At 39.2% G+C, this 17,348-nt stretch overlaps 1 annotated feature.

Moving 5' to 3' along the window:
- Positions 5,410-6,609: an enhancer, noted in NCBI's record as "MED14-independent group 3 enhancer chr9:106233209-106234408 (GRCh37/hg19 assembly coordinates)". NCBI's record gives its function as "activates an origin of replication core promoter dependent on BRD2, BRD4, P300/CBP and CDK7 cofactors, and independent of MED14, by STARR-seq in HCT116 cells {active_cell/tissue: HCT116}" and the evidence as "EXISTENCE:reporter gene assay evidence [ECO:0000049][PMID:35650434]".

Here is a 17,348-nt window from a genome sequence, read left to right as displayed (position 1 = left end):
AGAATATGTGATATGGATACACCATGGAATACTATGCAGCCATAAAAAGGAATGAGATCATGTCCTTTGCAGGGACATGGATGGAGCTGGAAGCCATTATCCTTAGCAAGCTAACACAGGAACAGAAAACCAAACACCGCATGCTCCCACTTATAATTGGAGCTGAACAATGAGAACACATGGACACAGGGAGGGGGACAACACACAATGGGGCCTGTTGGGAAGGTGGAGCAGGGGGAGAGAGAGCATCAGGATAAATAGCTAATGGATGGTGGGCTTAATATCTAGGTGATGGGTTGATAGGTGCAGCAAACCACCATGGCACACATCTACCTATGTAACAAACCTGGACATCCTGTGCGTGTACCCCGGCATGTAGAACAAAATTAAATACAAAATAACAACAACAAAACATGTCTTCTCTGTGTTTCAGAATACAGATACACATTGACTAGCAATCTAGATAAACATCACAAATTTAAATTATTCTAAGCCAAAAATGCATTTAATACACCTAACCTATCAAACCCCATAGCTTGGCCTAACCTACTTTAAATGTGCTCAGAATACTTACATTTGTCTCCATTTGGGCAAAACCACCTGTAGACTCATCTTGGGATCCCATGACTGACTGGGAGCTGTGGCTCACGACTGCTGCCCAACATCACAACAGAGTATCATGCTCCATATCACTAGCCCAAGAAAAGATCAAAAATCAAAATTATAAGTAAAGTTTTTACTGAATAAATATTGCTTTTGTACCATCATAAAGTTGAAAATTTATCATTATGTCAGGGACCATCTGTCTACTGTAGACCACTGGTGTGAGTCCCATCCTTCCAGACACTATTCATATTAATTCATGGCACCTTACATTGTTATTATGGAAAGTAGACTGTTTACAGATTTCTGACAATATTCTCCTTTTCACTACACTCTCCCTCTTTGTTTTTACATTTGAATCTATTATGATCGCAGCCCAAATTGCTTAGTTTAAAGCCTCTCAACCCTTCAAACTGTCATCTTTCAAGTCTCACAGGATGGATCTTTTTCTGGAACTATTGAATTACTGCCTATTTCGGGATGACTTATTTGACCCAGGCTCTTCTTATATCATCAGTACAAAGCTAATTTGTTGATTTTTCTGAGGGGATCTGTCATTTCTACTTAACCTACTTTATCCATCTTGATTTGAATTAGACTCAACGTAGGAATATCTCTACTGGATTCTTCTATCCTCAGGAAAATATCTTTATTTTTACAAATTATCTGTGCTTTTTGTTTTCTTTTTTCTCCCACATACCTGGTAATAAATTCCAACTTATGCGCCATGGTGCTAATTTTCCAATACAGAAACTTTGCCATTATTATTCCTCACCTACCACATTTTAATACTTTTGCAGCTGCAAAAATTTATCTCCTTTACCAGAATTAGGTTCACACGAAGGCAGAAACTCCATATTATTGGCTTTTTATTCCAATGTTGAGAAAAGCACTTTGTGCACCACTATAAATTAAAACAGTAAGACACTGTCCATAATGCAACTTCATCATGTGTAGTGATGGCGACTATTTGTGATCTCTACGATTACTGCAAAATAGAAAGTTATTAAAAATAACAGAGGCCAGGTGTGGTGGCTTACACCTATAATCCCAGCACTTTGGGAGGCCAAGGCAGGCAGATCCCCTGACATCAGGAGTTTGAGACCAGCCTGGCCAACATGGCAAAACCCTGTCTCTACTAAAAATACAAAAATTAGCTGGGCGTGGTGGCACGTGCCTGTAGTCCCAGGTACTTGGGAGACTGAGGCAGGAGAATCCACTTGAACCCGGGAAGTGGAGGTTGCAGTGAGCCTAGATCATGCCACTGCACTCTAGCCTGGGTGACAGAGTGAGACTCCAACTCCAAATAAATAAATAAATAAATAAAACAAAAATTAAAAATAATGGAAAAGGGACTGAAAAATTCGTTTCATATGGTAATCTAATTCTTTTAGGAAAAGGTATTTATTTCTGTATATTCTGGGTTGATACTGTTGAAAATTGTAAGTAATCTGATCAAGTGATATTGCACAGGTAAGCCTATGCACTATTGTGAGGTAAAACAGAAATGCTATGAAAAAAACTGAATTCAGGGCCGGGCACGGTGGCTCACACCTGTAATCCCAGCACTTTGGGAGGCCAACATGGGCTGATTACGAGGCCAGCAGATCGAGACCATCCTGGCTAACACGGTGAAACCCCATCTCTACTAAAAAAGAAAAAAAAAATGAATTCAGGGCACTTCCAGTTTCCATGTAAAAGCTTGGAATTTGTTGCTTCTGCGCTCATAATAAAAAAAAAAATAAGCTGAATCTGAAAATCAACAACCCTTCTTAGATCCATCAGAGAATTGAGGTCACAAAGCAAGCTGCTGTCCCCAAAGTTGTAGGGACAAGCAGTATAGAGAATCACAGTTTACTAAGAGCAGAAGCCCAGCAGTAGAGCCTGTACTAATAGAAACGTTGAGTTATGATTGACAAATTGAAGGAGGCTCAGTGTGGATGATCTCAAAATCACTAAGACTGAGTCTTGGGGAATGGGGCAAGAGGCACACTTTTATAAGGTTTACCTTGAAATCCACCAGGTTCTCAGAGAGAAGATTAGGAAAAAACAATCTCTTCATGCCTCTAGCATGGGGAGGTTAGAAGTAGTCATTGGGAAATGCAGAACATTGTATTCCCATTAACAAAAGCCTGCTCTCAAGAAAAATTATATTTGAAGAGCAAAGCTTGTAAGTTTTGATATTTATGCAAAGAGAATTCCCGGTAAACGTTGGGAGATGTATACTGTTTATTTTAAAATGTGAGAAGAAAGGTAGTTCGAGGGAAGAACTGTTAAGCAAGTAAGAACCAGAACTTAATTATTAGGGAAATTAGCCATTCAGATTCCAGATAATTACAGTCAGAAAAACAAGTTTTGGAGCGAATTTGAGAGACAACATTTTGCTAATGTTTCAGAAGTATGAAAAACAGAGTATTCAGTCACATCAATGTCTCTTTGAAGAGATTAACCATGTGACTTAGAGATTGTCATCCAAGCAGAAGCCAGGACTAGGGATTTGTCTAATAAAGTGAATCTTCTTGATATACCCCAGTGACTCACAGCGTGCTTGAGAATGTTATACAAACAAAGATGCTGCCAGTTTGAACTGAAAGCAACAGAAGGAGAATGAAATTTTAAAAAACCCCTTGGGTCCCTAAAATTCCACAGGCTGGAAAGCAGCTAGTAACACTACTTACATGCAAAAACATGCTACCTCTTATGAAAATGGATATATGATCCCCAAAGTTTCAGTCCCAGGCCTTAAAACCAAATACAGTGTGTCAGGGAAAATTTTGAAGTTGCTTTAAACAGGTGACTTCATTTATTGTTCCATTTTCTCCCTTTTTGACCAGAAATGTATGTTATTCTATGTTTGTTCCACCATTGTATTTTCTGAGCAGGTGAGTTGTTTCATTTCACAAGTCCCCAAAGCCTCACTCACACCTAACTTAGACGATATAGATAATGAGTTTTGGAACTGTTGTCTTGATGACCTTGTTTTACACCAAGTTGATGCAGTAATAGGTGGAGAATTTCAGGAACCACGGGTTGAGGTAAATATATTTTGCATGTAAAAAAGACATTGATCTTTGGGGGACTGAGGATAAACTGTAGTCAGCAGACCCCCAAAGATGCTCATGTCCTAATTTTTTGAACTTGTGAATATGTTACCTTTCTTGGAAAAGGAACATTAAGCTTGCAGGTAGAATTAAGGTTGCTAACAGCTGGCCTAAAAATGAGGAGACGATTCCTAGATTACCCAGATGGACCTAATGTAATCACAAGTGCACCTAAGAGTTAAAGGCAGGGGCAGAAGCGTTCATGGTTAGATAGGAAACGTGATTACAAAAGTGTTAATGAAAAACCCAAACTTTGAAAATAAAGAGGTTTATTCTGAGCCAATATGAGTGACCACAGCCTAGAAAAAAGGATAAACCCGAGAAGCCTTCAATAAGTGATCCTGAGGTAGTCAAAGTGCAGTTTGGTTTTATAGATTTTAGGGAGACAGGAATTGTAGGAAAAACTATAAATTAGTACATGGAAGATATACATTGATTCAGCCCCACAAGGTGGGATACCTTGAAGCAAGAGTTTACAGGTTGTAGGTGGAGTCACAGGTTCTTTAATTTGCAGTTTGTTCAAAGTGTTAAGCTTTGTCTAAAGGCTTGAAGTAAGTACAAAGGAATGCTTAAATGCTGGTCAGTTGTGCCTAAACTCCAAAAAGGAGTGGGTGTAACAAGACAAGTCCTACCTCCCTCCAGTCATGGCTGGACATTTAGTTTTTAAGGTTTTTCTTGGGTCCCTTTGGCCAAGAGGGGGTCCCTTCAGTCAGTTGGGGTGCTTAGGATTTTATTTTTAATTGAGTGAGTGAGATCAGAGTGTTGACATATGAGATGGACTCTCCTTGCCTTTATTAGCTTTGAAGACGGAGAAAGAGAGACATGACCCATGAAATACAGGATGTTTCTAGGATATAAAAATGTGTGGAAAAACTATCTCACCTAGAGCTAGAAAGAAACACAGCCCTGTTAAGCTCTTGAATTCATCCTAGTGTGACCTGTGTCAGACTTTGGACCTAAGAACTATAAGATAACATGTTTGCATTGTTTAAGCTAAATTTGATACAATTTAAATTTGAGGTAAGCTGGGCTGTTTATATAATTATATAAAATATAAATCTAGTTATATATAACATATATAAATTATATAATTTTATATATTTATCTTTTAATAATATAATTTATATATCATCTTCTTGTATAGTTGTTATCATTATCAAATTGACCTTTTTTTTAATCCCTGATAATATCCTTTGCTCTGAAGCCTGTCTTGTCTAAAATTAATTTAGCTAGTCTAGGTTTCTTTTGATTAGAGTTAGCATGGCACATCTTTCTCAATATTTTTTCTTTTAACATAGCTGATTCTTTAGAGTTTTATTTTGTTTTCCTTTTTGAGGACAACAGAAGTTGGGTCTTGTTTCTCCATTATGAGATTACCTTGCTTTTAATTGCTGTGTTTAGATTATTTACATTTAAAGTGATTAAAACATAGATTAATATCTACCACGCGTGTAACTGTTTTCCATTTGTTGCATTTGTTCTTGGTTTCTTATCTCCTCTTTTACAGCCTTCTCTGATTTTAACTGAGCATTTTCATATGGTTCTATTTTACCTTCTGTCTTTGTGTACCAAATATACTTCTTTTTAAAATATTGTAGTGGGGGACTTCTGCAGATCATGGTGGACGGGAGGCAGGACTAGATTGCAGCTCCAGATAGAGCAGCATAGAGAGGCTTGCATTGTGAATTTTAGCTCCAGATTGACTGCAAGAACAAACTACCAATTCTGAGAGGACCCACAGGCCCTCTGAAGGAAGCGGACTGCTCCTGCAGGACCCAGGAGACACCTCAAATACCGTGAGTGCCCCAACTGTGGAAGTGGGAAAGGGAGACCCTTCTTTCTCGAACAGGAACACACATCCCCAGTGGAGAAGCTGAAAGTGTCCGTTTGCAGGAGACGTTCCCGACTTTACCTGGAGCTGAGTCAAGATGGAGAGCCGAGCTGAGCAAAATACAAGGGGTGGAGGAGGCAGCAGGCAGGCCCTGGAAGCTCGCTGAATCCCCAGGCAGCCCATTCCTGCCTGGAACCACAGGAATCCATCAGGAGGGAGGCCAGAGGAGCATAAGGTAAAACCCCCAGGAGGAGAAGGACTTCCCTAGCTGAACTTTGTAACAACTTTGTAACAATTTGAGCGAGGCTAGAAGCCTCCTGGCCAGAACGTGGGGTAGGGTGTGAATCCAGCTTGCAGAATTCACAGGTGGGGAAAGAACTAAAGCCCTTTTCTTTCCCAGGTGGGAGGCGGAAAGCCTTGGGCAAATTTTCAAGCCCACCCTCCACCTGGAAACAGACTCGGTGCTGTTGTGGATGGCACAGTGGGAGTGAGACTAGCCCTTTGGTTTGCGTGGGAGTTGGGTGAGGCCTGTGGCTGCTGGCTTTTCCCCACTTCCGTGACAACCTGCATGACTCAGCAGAGACAGCCATAATCCTCCTAGGTACACAACTCTGGTGACAGAGGAATCTCACCCCCATCCCCATGGCAGCCACAGCAAGACCAGCCCAAGGAGAGTCTAAGCTCAGACACGCCTAGCCCCACTGCCACCTGATGGTCCTTCCCTATCTACCCTGGTAGCAGAAGACAGAGGATATATAATCTTGGGAGTTCTAGGGCCCCGCCCACCACCAGTCCCTCTTCACATTACTACAGCTGATGCTTTCTGGAAAGCGCCAACTCCTGGCAGGGGGTCAACCAGCACAAAAATAGAACATTAAACCAACAAAGCTAAGAATCCTCATGGAGCCCATTGAACCCTCTGCCACCTCCACCTGCACAGGCGCTAGTATCCGTGGCTGAGAGACCCATAGACAGTTCACATCACAGGACTCTGTACAGAAACTCCCAGCACCAGCCAGGAGCTGGGTAGCCTCGCTGAATGGCTAGACCCAGAAGAGAGACAACAATCACTGCAGTTCGGCTCACAGGAAGCCACAAACACAGGAAAAGGGGGTGAGTAGTACATAAAGGGAATACCTCGTGGGACAAAAAAATTCGAACAACAGCCTTCAGCCCTAGACCTTCCCTCTGAAAGAGACTGCCTAAATGGGAAGGAATCAGAAAACCAACCCTAGTAATATGACAAAACAAGGCTCATCAACACCCCTCAAAAATCACCCACAGTGGATCCAAACCAAGAAGAAATCCCTGGCTAATCTGAAAAATTATTCAGGAGGTTAGTTATTAAGCTTATCAGGGAGGGACCAGAGAAGGGTGAAGCCCAATGCAAGGAAGTCCAAAAACTGATACAAGAAGTGAAGGGAGAAATATCCAACAAAATAGATAGCTTAAGAAAAAAAAATAAAAATAAAAAATTCAGGAAACTTTGGCACACTTTTAGAAATGTGAAATGCTCTGGAAAGTCTCAGCAATAGAATTGAACAAGTAGAAGAAAGAAATTCAGATCTCGAAGACAAGGTCTTTGAACTAACCCAATCCAACAAAGACAAAAAAAAAAAAAAACATAAGAAAATATGAACAAAGCCTCCAAGACATTACATGACCAAACCTAAGAAGAATTGGTGTTCCTGAGGAAGAAGACAATTCCAAAAGCTTGGAAAACATATTTGGGGGAATAATCAAGGAAAACTTCCCCAACCTTGTGAGAGACCTAGACATGCACATACAAGAAGCACAAAGAACACCTGGGAAATTCATCGCACAAAGATCTTTGCCTAGGCATATTGTAATCAGGTTATCCAAAGTTAAGATGAAGGAAAGAATCTTAAGAGCTGTGAAAACGAAGTGCCAGATAACCTATAAAGGAAAACCTAACAAATTAACAGCCGACTTCTCAGCAGAAACCCTACAAGCTAGAAGGGATTGAGGCCCTATCTTCAACCTCCTCAAACAAAACAACCTTCAGCCAAGAATTTTGTATCCAGTGAAACTAAGCATCACATAAGAAAAAAGATAGAGTTGTTTTCAGATAAACAAGTGCTGAAAGAATTTGCCATAACCAAGTCACCACTATAAAAACTGCTAAAAGGAGCTCTAAATCTTGAAAAAAATCTTGGAAACACATCAAAATAGAATGTCTTTAAAGCATAAAGCACACAGCACCCATTAAAAAAGTACAAGTTAAAAAGAAAACACAAAAAACAAAGCATGCAGGCAACAAACAGTATGATGAATGCAACAGTACTTCACATTTCAATACTAACATTGAAAGTAAATGGCCTAAATGGTCCACTTAAAAGATACAGAATTGCAGACTGGATAAGAACTCACTATCCACTGCCTTCAGCAGACTCACCTAACACATAAGGACTCACATAAACTTAAAGGGATGGAAAAAGGCATTTCATGCAAATGTACACCAAAAGCGAGCAGGGATAGCTATTCTTATATCAGACAAAACAAACTTTGAAGCAACAGTGATTATGGTAAAAGGCCTTGTCCTACCGGAAAATATTACAGTCCTAAACATATATGCACCTAACACTGGAGCTCCCAAATATATAAAACAATTACTAATAGACCTAAGAAATGAGATAGATAGCAACACAATAATAGTGGGGGACTTCAATACTCCACTGACAGCACAAGGCAGGTCATCAAGACAGAAAGTTAACGAAGAAACAATTGATTTAAACTAAACCTTGGAACAAAAGGACTTAACAGATATATACAGAACACTTCATCCAACAACCACAGAATACACGTTCTATTCAACAGCCCATGGAGCTTTCTCCAAGATGGACCATATGATAGGCCATAAAATGAGCCTTAACAAATTTAAGAAAATTGAAATTATATCAAGCACTCTCTCAGACCACAGTGGAATAATACTGGAAATCAACTCCACAAGGAATCCTCGAAACCATGCAAATACATGAAAATTAAATAATCTGCTCTTTAATGAGCATTGGGTCAAAAACAAAATCAAGATGGAAATTAAAAAATCATTTGAACTAAATGACACAACCTATCAAAATCTCTGGGATACAGCAAAGGTGGTGCTAAGAAGAAAGTTCATTGCCCTAAATGCCTACATCAAAAAGTCTGAAAGAGCACAAACAGGACAATCTAAGGTCATGCCTCAAGGAACTATAGAAACAACACAAACCAAACCCAAACTCAGCAGAAAGGGAGTAACCAAGATCAGAGCAGAACTAAATGAAATTGAAACAAACAAACAAAAAGTACAAAAGACAAATGAAACAAAAAGCTGGTTTTTTGAAGAGATAAATAAGACTGATACACCATTAGCAAGATTAACCAAGAAAAGAAGACAGAAAATCCAAATAACCTCATTGAGAAATGAAAAAGGAGGTATGACAACTGATACCACTGAAATATGAAAGATCAGTCAAAGCTACTATGAATACCTTTACACACTTAAACTGGAAAAGCTAGAAGAGATGGATAAATTCCTGGAAAAATACAACCCTCCTAGCTTAAATCAGGAAGAATTGGATACCCTGAACAGACCAAAAATAGCAGCAAGATTGAAATGGTAATTTAAAAATTACCAACAAAAAAAAGTCCAGGACCAGATGGATTCACAGCAGAATTCTAGCAGACATTCAAAGAAGAATTGGAACCACTCCTTTTGACACTATTTCACAATATAGATAAAGAAGGAACCCTCCCTAATTCATTGTATGAAGCCAGTATCACCCTAATACCAAAACCAGGAAAGGACACAACCAAAAAAGAAAACTACAGACCAATATCCTTGATGAACATAGATGCTAAAATCCTTAAAATATTAGCTAACTGAATCCAGCAACATATCAAAAAATAATCCATCATGATCAAGTGGGTTTCATAACAGGGATGCATGGATGGTTTAACAGACACAAGTCAATAAATATGATTCACCACATAAACAGAATTAAAAACAAAAATCACACGATCATCTCAATAGATGCAGAAAAAGCATTTGACAAAATCTAGCATCCATTTATGATCAAAACCCTCAGCAAAATCGGCATACAAGGGACATACCTTAATGTAATAAAAGCCATCTATGACAAACCCACAGCCAACATACTACTGAATGGGGAAAAGTTGAAAGCATTCCTCGCAAGAACTATAACATGATAAGGATCACCGATCTCACCACTCCTCTTCAACACAGTACTGGAAGTCTTAGCCAGAGCAATCCTACAAGAGAAAGAGATAAACGGCATCCAAATCAGTAAAGAGGAAGTCAAATTGTCCCTGTTTGGTGACAATATGATTGTTTATCTTGAAAACCATAAGGACTACACCAGAAAGCAACTAGTACTGATAAAAGAATTCAGCAAAGTCTCTGGATACAAGATTAATGTTCACAAATCAGTAGCTCTTCTATACACCAACAGTGACCAAGCGGAGAATTAAATCAAGAACTCAACCCCTTTTACAATAGCTGAAAAACAAATAAAAATACTTAGGAATATACCTAACAAAGGAGTCAAAAGACTTCTACAAGCATAACTACAAAACACTGCTAAAAGGAATCATAGATGACACAAATGGAAACACATCCCATGCTCATGGATGGGTAGAATCAATATTGTGAAAATGACCATACTACCAAAAGCAATCTACAAATTCAATGCAATCCCCATCAAACCACCATCATTCTTCACAGAGTTAGAAAAATCAATTCTAAAATTCATATGGAGCCAAAAAAGAGCCCGCATAGCCAAAGCAAGACTAAGCAAAAAGAACAAATCTGGAAGCATCACACTACCTGATTTCAAACTATACTATAAGGCCATAGTCACCAAAATAGCTTGGTACTGGTGTAAAGACAAGCACATAGACCAATAGAACAGAATAGAGAACCCAGAAATAAGCCCAAGTATTTACAGCCAACTGATCTACCTTTTCAACAAATGGTGCTGGGATAATTGGTTAGCCACATGTAGGAGAATGAAACTGGATCCTCATCTCTCCCTTTATACAAAAATCAACTCAAGATAGATTAAGGACTTAAACCTAAGACCTGAAACTATAAGAATTCTAGAAGATAATTTTTATATTTTTATAAAAATATAAAGGGTTTTATAATTGTGGAAACCCTTTTAGACATTGGCTTAGGCAAGGATTTCATGACCAAAACCCAAAAGCAATTGCAATAAAGACAAAGATAAATAGCTGAGACCTAATTAAACTAAAGAACTTTTGCATGACAAAAGGAACGGTCAGCAGAGTAAACAGACAACCCAAAGAGTGGGAGAAAATCTTCACAATCTATACATCTGACAAAGGACTAATATCCAGAATCTACAATGAACTCAAATCAATAAGAAAAAAAAATCAAAAAGTGGACTAAGAACATGAACAGACAATTCTCAAAAGAAGATATACAAATGGCCAACAAACATATGAAAAATGCTCAACATCATTCATAATCAGGGAAATGCAAATCAAAACCACAATGCAATACCACCTTTCTACTGCAAGAATGGCCATAATAAAAAAAAATCAAAAAACAGTGGCGTGGATGTGGCCATCAGGGAACACTTCTACACTGCTGGTGGGAATGTAAACTAGTACAGCTGCTATGGAAAACAGTGTGGAGATTTCTTAAAGAACTAAAAGTAGAACTACCATTTGATCCAGCAATCCCCTACTGGGTATCTACCCAGAGGAAAAGAAGCCATTATTCGAAAAGCATACTTGCACATGCACGTTTATAGCAGCACAATTCACAATTGCAAAATTGTGGAACCAACCCAAATGCCCATCAATCTATGAGTGGATAAAGAAACTCTGGTACATATATATGATGGAATACTACTCTGCCATAAAAATGAATAAATTAACAGCATTTTCAATGACCTGGATGAGATTAGAGACTATTTTTCTAAGTGAAGTAACTCAGGAATGGAAAACCAAACATCGTATGTTCTCACTGATATGTGGGAGCTAAGCTATGAAGACACAAATGCATAAGAATGATACAATGGACTTTGGAGACTTGGGGTAATGAGTAGGGGGTCAAGGGATAAAAGACAACAAATATGGTGCAGTGTATACTGTTCGGGTGATGGGTGCACCAGGTTCTCACAAATCTCTACTAAAGAACTTACTCATGTAACCAAATACCACCTGTACCCCAATAACGTATGGAAAAATAAAATTTAAAAACTATTAAAATATTGTAGTGGTTACTCTTGAGGTTACATGACACAATTTTACCTACTTAAAGTCCGCCTTCAAATATCAATCACTACATGGCTTCACATGCAATGCAGGTATCCTATAACAGAATGTTTATTACCAATTTCTAGTACTTATTCATTGTTTTATAATTACAACATTGTTCTTAGTGCTTTACATAAAATATAAAATAGGTCAATTATGATTAATAAAAATAAGATATTTTATCTTCATTTATTCATTCTCTGCCATCCTTTCTTTCATTAGGTATATCCCGGTTTCGATCTATATAATTCTTCCTCTAAACAAATTACTTCAACATTTCTTTCAAAGATCTGTTGGCAATGATTTCCCTTGCTTTTTTTTTTTTTTTTTTTTTTTAAATATCAGAGAATGTCTGATATGGTTTGACTGTGTCCCCACCCAAATCTCATCTTGAACTGTAGCTCTCATAATCCCCACATGTCATGGAAGTGGCATGGTGGGAGGTAATTGAATCATGACTGTATTTTTTCCCCATGCTGTTCTTGTGATAGTGAACAAGTCTCATGAGATTTGATGGTTTTATAAAGGTTAGTTCCCCTCACACGCTGTCTTGCCTGAACCATGTAAGATGTGTCTTTGCTCCTCCTTTGCCTTTCACCATGATTGTGAGGCATCCTCAGACACGTGGAACTGTGAGTCCATTAAACTTCTTTTTCTTTATAAATTACCCAGTCTCAGGGATTTCTTCATAGCAGTATGAAAATGGGCAAATACACTAAATTGGTATCAGGAGTGGGCCACTGCTATTAAACTATGTGAAAATGTGGAAACAACTTTAGAATTGGGTAACAGGCAGAGATTGGAACAGTTTAGAGGGCTCAGAAGATAATAGGAAAAAGTGGGAAAGTTTGAAACTTTCTAGAGACTTGGAGGGCTCAGAAGACAGGAAGATGTGGGAAAGTTTGTAACTTCTTAGAGACTTGTTGAATGGCTTTCACCAAAATGCTGATAGTGATATGGACAATAAAGTCCAGGCTGAGATGGTCTCAGATGGAGATGAGGAACTTATTGGGAACTGGAGTAAAGGTCATTCTTTTTATGCAAAGAGACTGGTGGCATTTTGCCTCTGCTTTAGAAATTTGTGGAACTTTGAACTTGAGAGAGATAATTTAGGGTATCTGCTGGAAGAAATTTCAAAATGGCAAAGTTTTCAAAAGGAGGCAGAGCATAAAAGTTTGAAAAATTTGCAACCTGACTTGTGGAATAAAAGAAAAACCCATTTTCTGGGGAGAAATTCAAGGCTGCTGCAGAAATTTGCATAAGTAATGAGGAGCCAAATGCTAATCATCACGACAATAGGGAAAATGTCTCCAGGGCATATCCGAGTCCTTCATGACAGTCGCTCCTATCACAGGCCTAGGAGGGAAAAATGATTTATGGGCCAGGCCCAGGGCCCCCTCCTGTGTGCAGCCTAGGGACTTGGTGCCCTGCATCGCAGCCACTCCAGCCATGGCTAAAAGGGGCCAAGGTATATCACTGGCTGTAGCTTCTGAGGGTGCAAGCCTGGAGCATTGGCACTATCCATATGGTATGGAGCCTGCAGGGGCACAGAAGTCAAGAGTTGAGGTTAGGGCACCTCTGCAGAGATTTCAGAGAATGTATGGAAACCCCTGGATGTCCAGGCAGACATTTGCTGCAGGGTTAGGGCCCTGATGGAGAACCTCTGCTAAGGCAGTACAGAGGGGAAATATCAGGTGGGAGCCCCCACAGAGAGTCCCCACTGGGGCACTGCCTAGTGGAACTGTGAGAAGAGGGCCACCATCCTCCAGACCCCAGAATGGTAGATGCACCAACAGCTTGCATAGCTTGCACTTGTGCACCTGGAAAAGCCACACTCAACACCAACCTGTGAAAGCAGCCAGGAAGGGGGTTGTACCTAGCAAAGCCACAGGGGCAGAGCAGCTCAAGACCATGGAAACCCACCTCTTGCCATCAGTGTGACCTGGATGTGTGACATGAAGTCAAAGGAGCTCATTTTGGAACTATAATGACTGCCTTATAGGATTTTGGACTTGCATGGACTCTGCAGCCCCTTTGTTTTGGTCAGTTTCTCCCACTTGGAACAGGTGTAATTACCCAATGCCTGTACTCTTATTGTATCTAGGAAGTAACTAACTCGCTTTTGATTTTACAGGCTCATAGGTGGAAGGACCTTGCCTTGTCTCAGCTGAAATTTTGGTCTGCAGACTTTTGAGTTAATGCTGAAGTGAATTAAGACTTTGGGGAACTGTTGGGAAGGCATGATTTGTTTTGCAATGTGAAGACATAAGATTTGGGAGGGGCCAGAGGTGGCATGATATGGTTTGGCTCTGTGTCCTCACCCAAATCTCATCTTGAATTCTACCTCCCATAATCCCCACGTGTCATGGAAAGGATGTGGTGGGAGGTAATTAAATCATGAGAGCAGGTTTTTCCTGTGCTGTTCTCATGATAGTGAATAAGTCTCATGAGATCTGATGGTTGTATAAAGGGCTGTTCCCCTGCACACACTCTCTTGCCTACTGCCATGGAAGATCTGTCTTTGCTCCTTCTTTGCCTTCTGCTGTGATTGTGAGGCCTCCCTAGACATGTGGAACTGTGAGTCCATTAAACTTCTTTTTCTTTGTAAATTACCCAGTCTCAGGTATTTTTTCATAGCAGTACGAAAATTGAATAATACAATGTCTTTATTTCTCGTTCACTTTTGAAGGATACCTTTTCTGGCTATGCAATTGTCATTTGGTGTTTGCTTTTTTTATTGTTTTTCTTTTCACACTTCAGATATTTCACTCTTCTCTTTTCTGGCATGCATGGTTTTGGATAAGAAGTCCACTGCAATTTTTATTCTTGCTTCCACCTCACCCAACATGGACTTTTTGCAAAATTGCTTTTTTGCTTTTAGTTTTCTACAGTTTGAATATATGCGTAAGGTATAAAGATTTTAATATTTATACTGCTTGGTGTTTTCTGAGCATCCTAGTTCTTTGGTTTTGTGTCTGTCATTAATTATGAAACATTCTTGACCATATTGCTTCAAATATTTCTCCTGGTCTGTATTCTTTTTCTGGTCTTCCACCTGTATGTATGTTACACATTTTGAAACTGTCCCACAGTTCTTGTTGTTTCTGTTTTTTTAAAAAAATTTTGCATTCTTTTTTATCTTTGCATTTTAGTTTGTAAAGCTTCTATTTACTTATCTTCGAAGTTTTCAAGTTCACTGATTCTTTCTTCAGCCAAGCCTAGTCTATTATTGAGCCCATGCATCAGAAATATTCTTCATTTCTGCTAAAGTGCATTTGTTTTCTAATACAGTAATCCCTGCTTATCCTCAGTTTCACTTGCTATGGTTTCATTACCCTTGGTCAACTGCGGTCTGAAAAATCTCCATAGCTCATCATGGTGCAAAGGTCTAGGGTCACGCAAAGCAGATGATCCTCCTTCTGATGTATCCTTAGAAGGTCAATAGCAGCCTAATACAATGTCACAGTGCCTACAACATTCACCTTACTTTATCCCACTACACAGGAATTTTACCATCTCACATCATCATCATAAGAAGTGTGAGTAGGTTACAATATGTTGAGAGAGAGAGGATGCATGTGTGTGTGAGCTAGAGATGAAATTCACATAATTTTTATTAGGGTATATTATTATAATTGTTCTGTTTTATTATTAATTATCATTGTTAATCCATTACTGTGCCTAATTTATAAGTTAAACTTTATTATAGGTATGTGTGTGTATGAAAAAACATAGTATATATAGGGTTTGATGCTATCTGCAGTTTCAGGCATCCACTGGGAGTATTAAGAACATAACTCCAGGTAATAAGGGTATTAAATACAATTTATAGGCCATTGATTTGAACTGAGCTTCTGCACTAGGCCCAACTGGCCAAAGCAAAATGGAGTTATTCACACTAAAGTTCCATGTCATCAGGCAGAAGCTACGTTGTCTTTGTGACCTTCCCAGAAATCCTTAGACTGAGAGATAGCAGCCAAATTCCCAAACAAGCTGTTTTAGCTGCTTCAATAAGGGAATTCCCTCCGTTATAACCTTTATAAATAATGTAACTTTGAAATGACCAAATTGCTTTTCATTCTTTTTTTCTGCTTATTTCAGCAATTCTCTGTCTATAAAACCAAACTACTCTGCCCAGCTCATTGGAATACTCATTGCATTTTTAGAATGAGATGTCTGATTGTAGAATTGCAAATGAAAGCCAACTAAAATCTTTAACTACATTTGTTATAATATTGTCTTCTCACACAGGGGGAATACTATATTTCTTTTGCATTCTTTCCTGTAGTTCCTACCTACTTACATTACCCATTTGTTCTTGCATGGGGTCTACATTTTCAGTTAGAATCCTTAACACAGTAATCAGAATTTTAAATTTCCTACCTGATCATTCCAATATCTGCCATATATGACTCTGGTTCTGATGATTTTCTGTTCAGACTTTGTTTTCTCTTGGTTTTTGTCATGTCTTGTAACTTGTTTTTGTTGGGAATAACACTCAAAATCCTAAGGAAATTGCATACTCAAACAAAGGATTCTTAGCAAAACAATTTTACTTCTGCGCAGAGGGGTGCCTCTCTTTGGCCAGTCACCATGAGAGCACACCTGAACAAAGGGGCATTACAGTGTTTACTCCTGATGCAAGTCCTGCCCCTGTACCCTTTCCCCATTGGCCGAGGTCAGGCCGTACAATCTAAACTAATCCTGATTGGCTAAACTTTTGAACATTTTTTTTAGATCAGGTGAGCACATAAGGGAGAGAGGGGAAAGGGGAAGGGGTGTCTGCAATGAGCTAGAAAGCTAGTCTTCTTTCCAAATAAGGAAAGGAAGGGGAGCTGGTACTGATAACGCCTGGTACTGTGGTGTGTCTGGGCGTGTAACAAAGGCAGAAAGGAAGTAAAAAGAGAAAAAGGAAAGCGGGGAGTGGGTACTGTGAATTAAAGAATAGAGGATTGATCAGGTTATTTGAAGAGAAACCTCATCATATTGCACAGCTTGAATACTGAACGTATTGTATAATCTCACAGGACCTGCAGTAAATAGACCTAGTGTGAGCATTTTTGTTATTTGGCTAGGAGTTATACTGTGTTTAATTTTCTGTAGCTGTTGGTACAAGTGGGTTCAAATTTCTCTGGAGACATTGTTTTCTGTCTCTTCTCTATGGATTTGGGGCTTCCCTAAAAACTCCTTTTTAGACAGAGTATGTGTCTTGAAGCTTTTTCTGTTGTTACCTACTTTTATTGTACTGGAATCCTATAGGTATGGTAATGAGAGGTGGAATTGGCGGGACTTCCTGGGCCGCTTCGGGGGCTTTTGCAAAAGACCTCTGTGACCCAGGGTTTTGAGTTCTTAACCAATCGAGTGAAGGATTCAAAATTAACCACTCCAAGGGAGGACTGAAAAAAGAACCACGCTCAATGGGCAAAAAGAAAGAATGGGGAGGCAGTAACACAGGAATATAAGCCTTAGCCACCCGGCCCAGCAAGGGCAACCCATACAGGTCCCCT

Source organism: Homo sapiens, chromosome 9 (assembly GCF_000001405.40).
Source record: "Homo sapiens chromosome 9, GRCh38.p14 Primary Assembly".
Taxonomy (NCBI): Eukaryota; Metazoa; Chordata; class Mammalia; order Primates; family Hominidae; genus Homo; species Homo sapiens.
The sequence above is the reverse complement of the archived record's forward strand: the minus strand, read 5'-3'. Positions and strand labels throughout refer to the sequence as shown.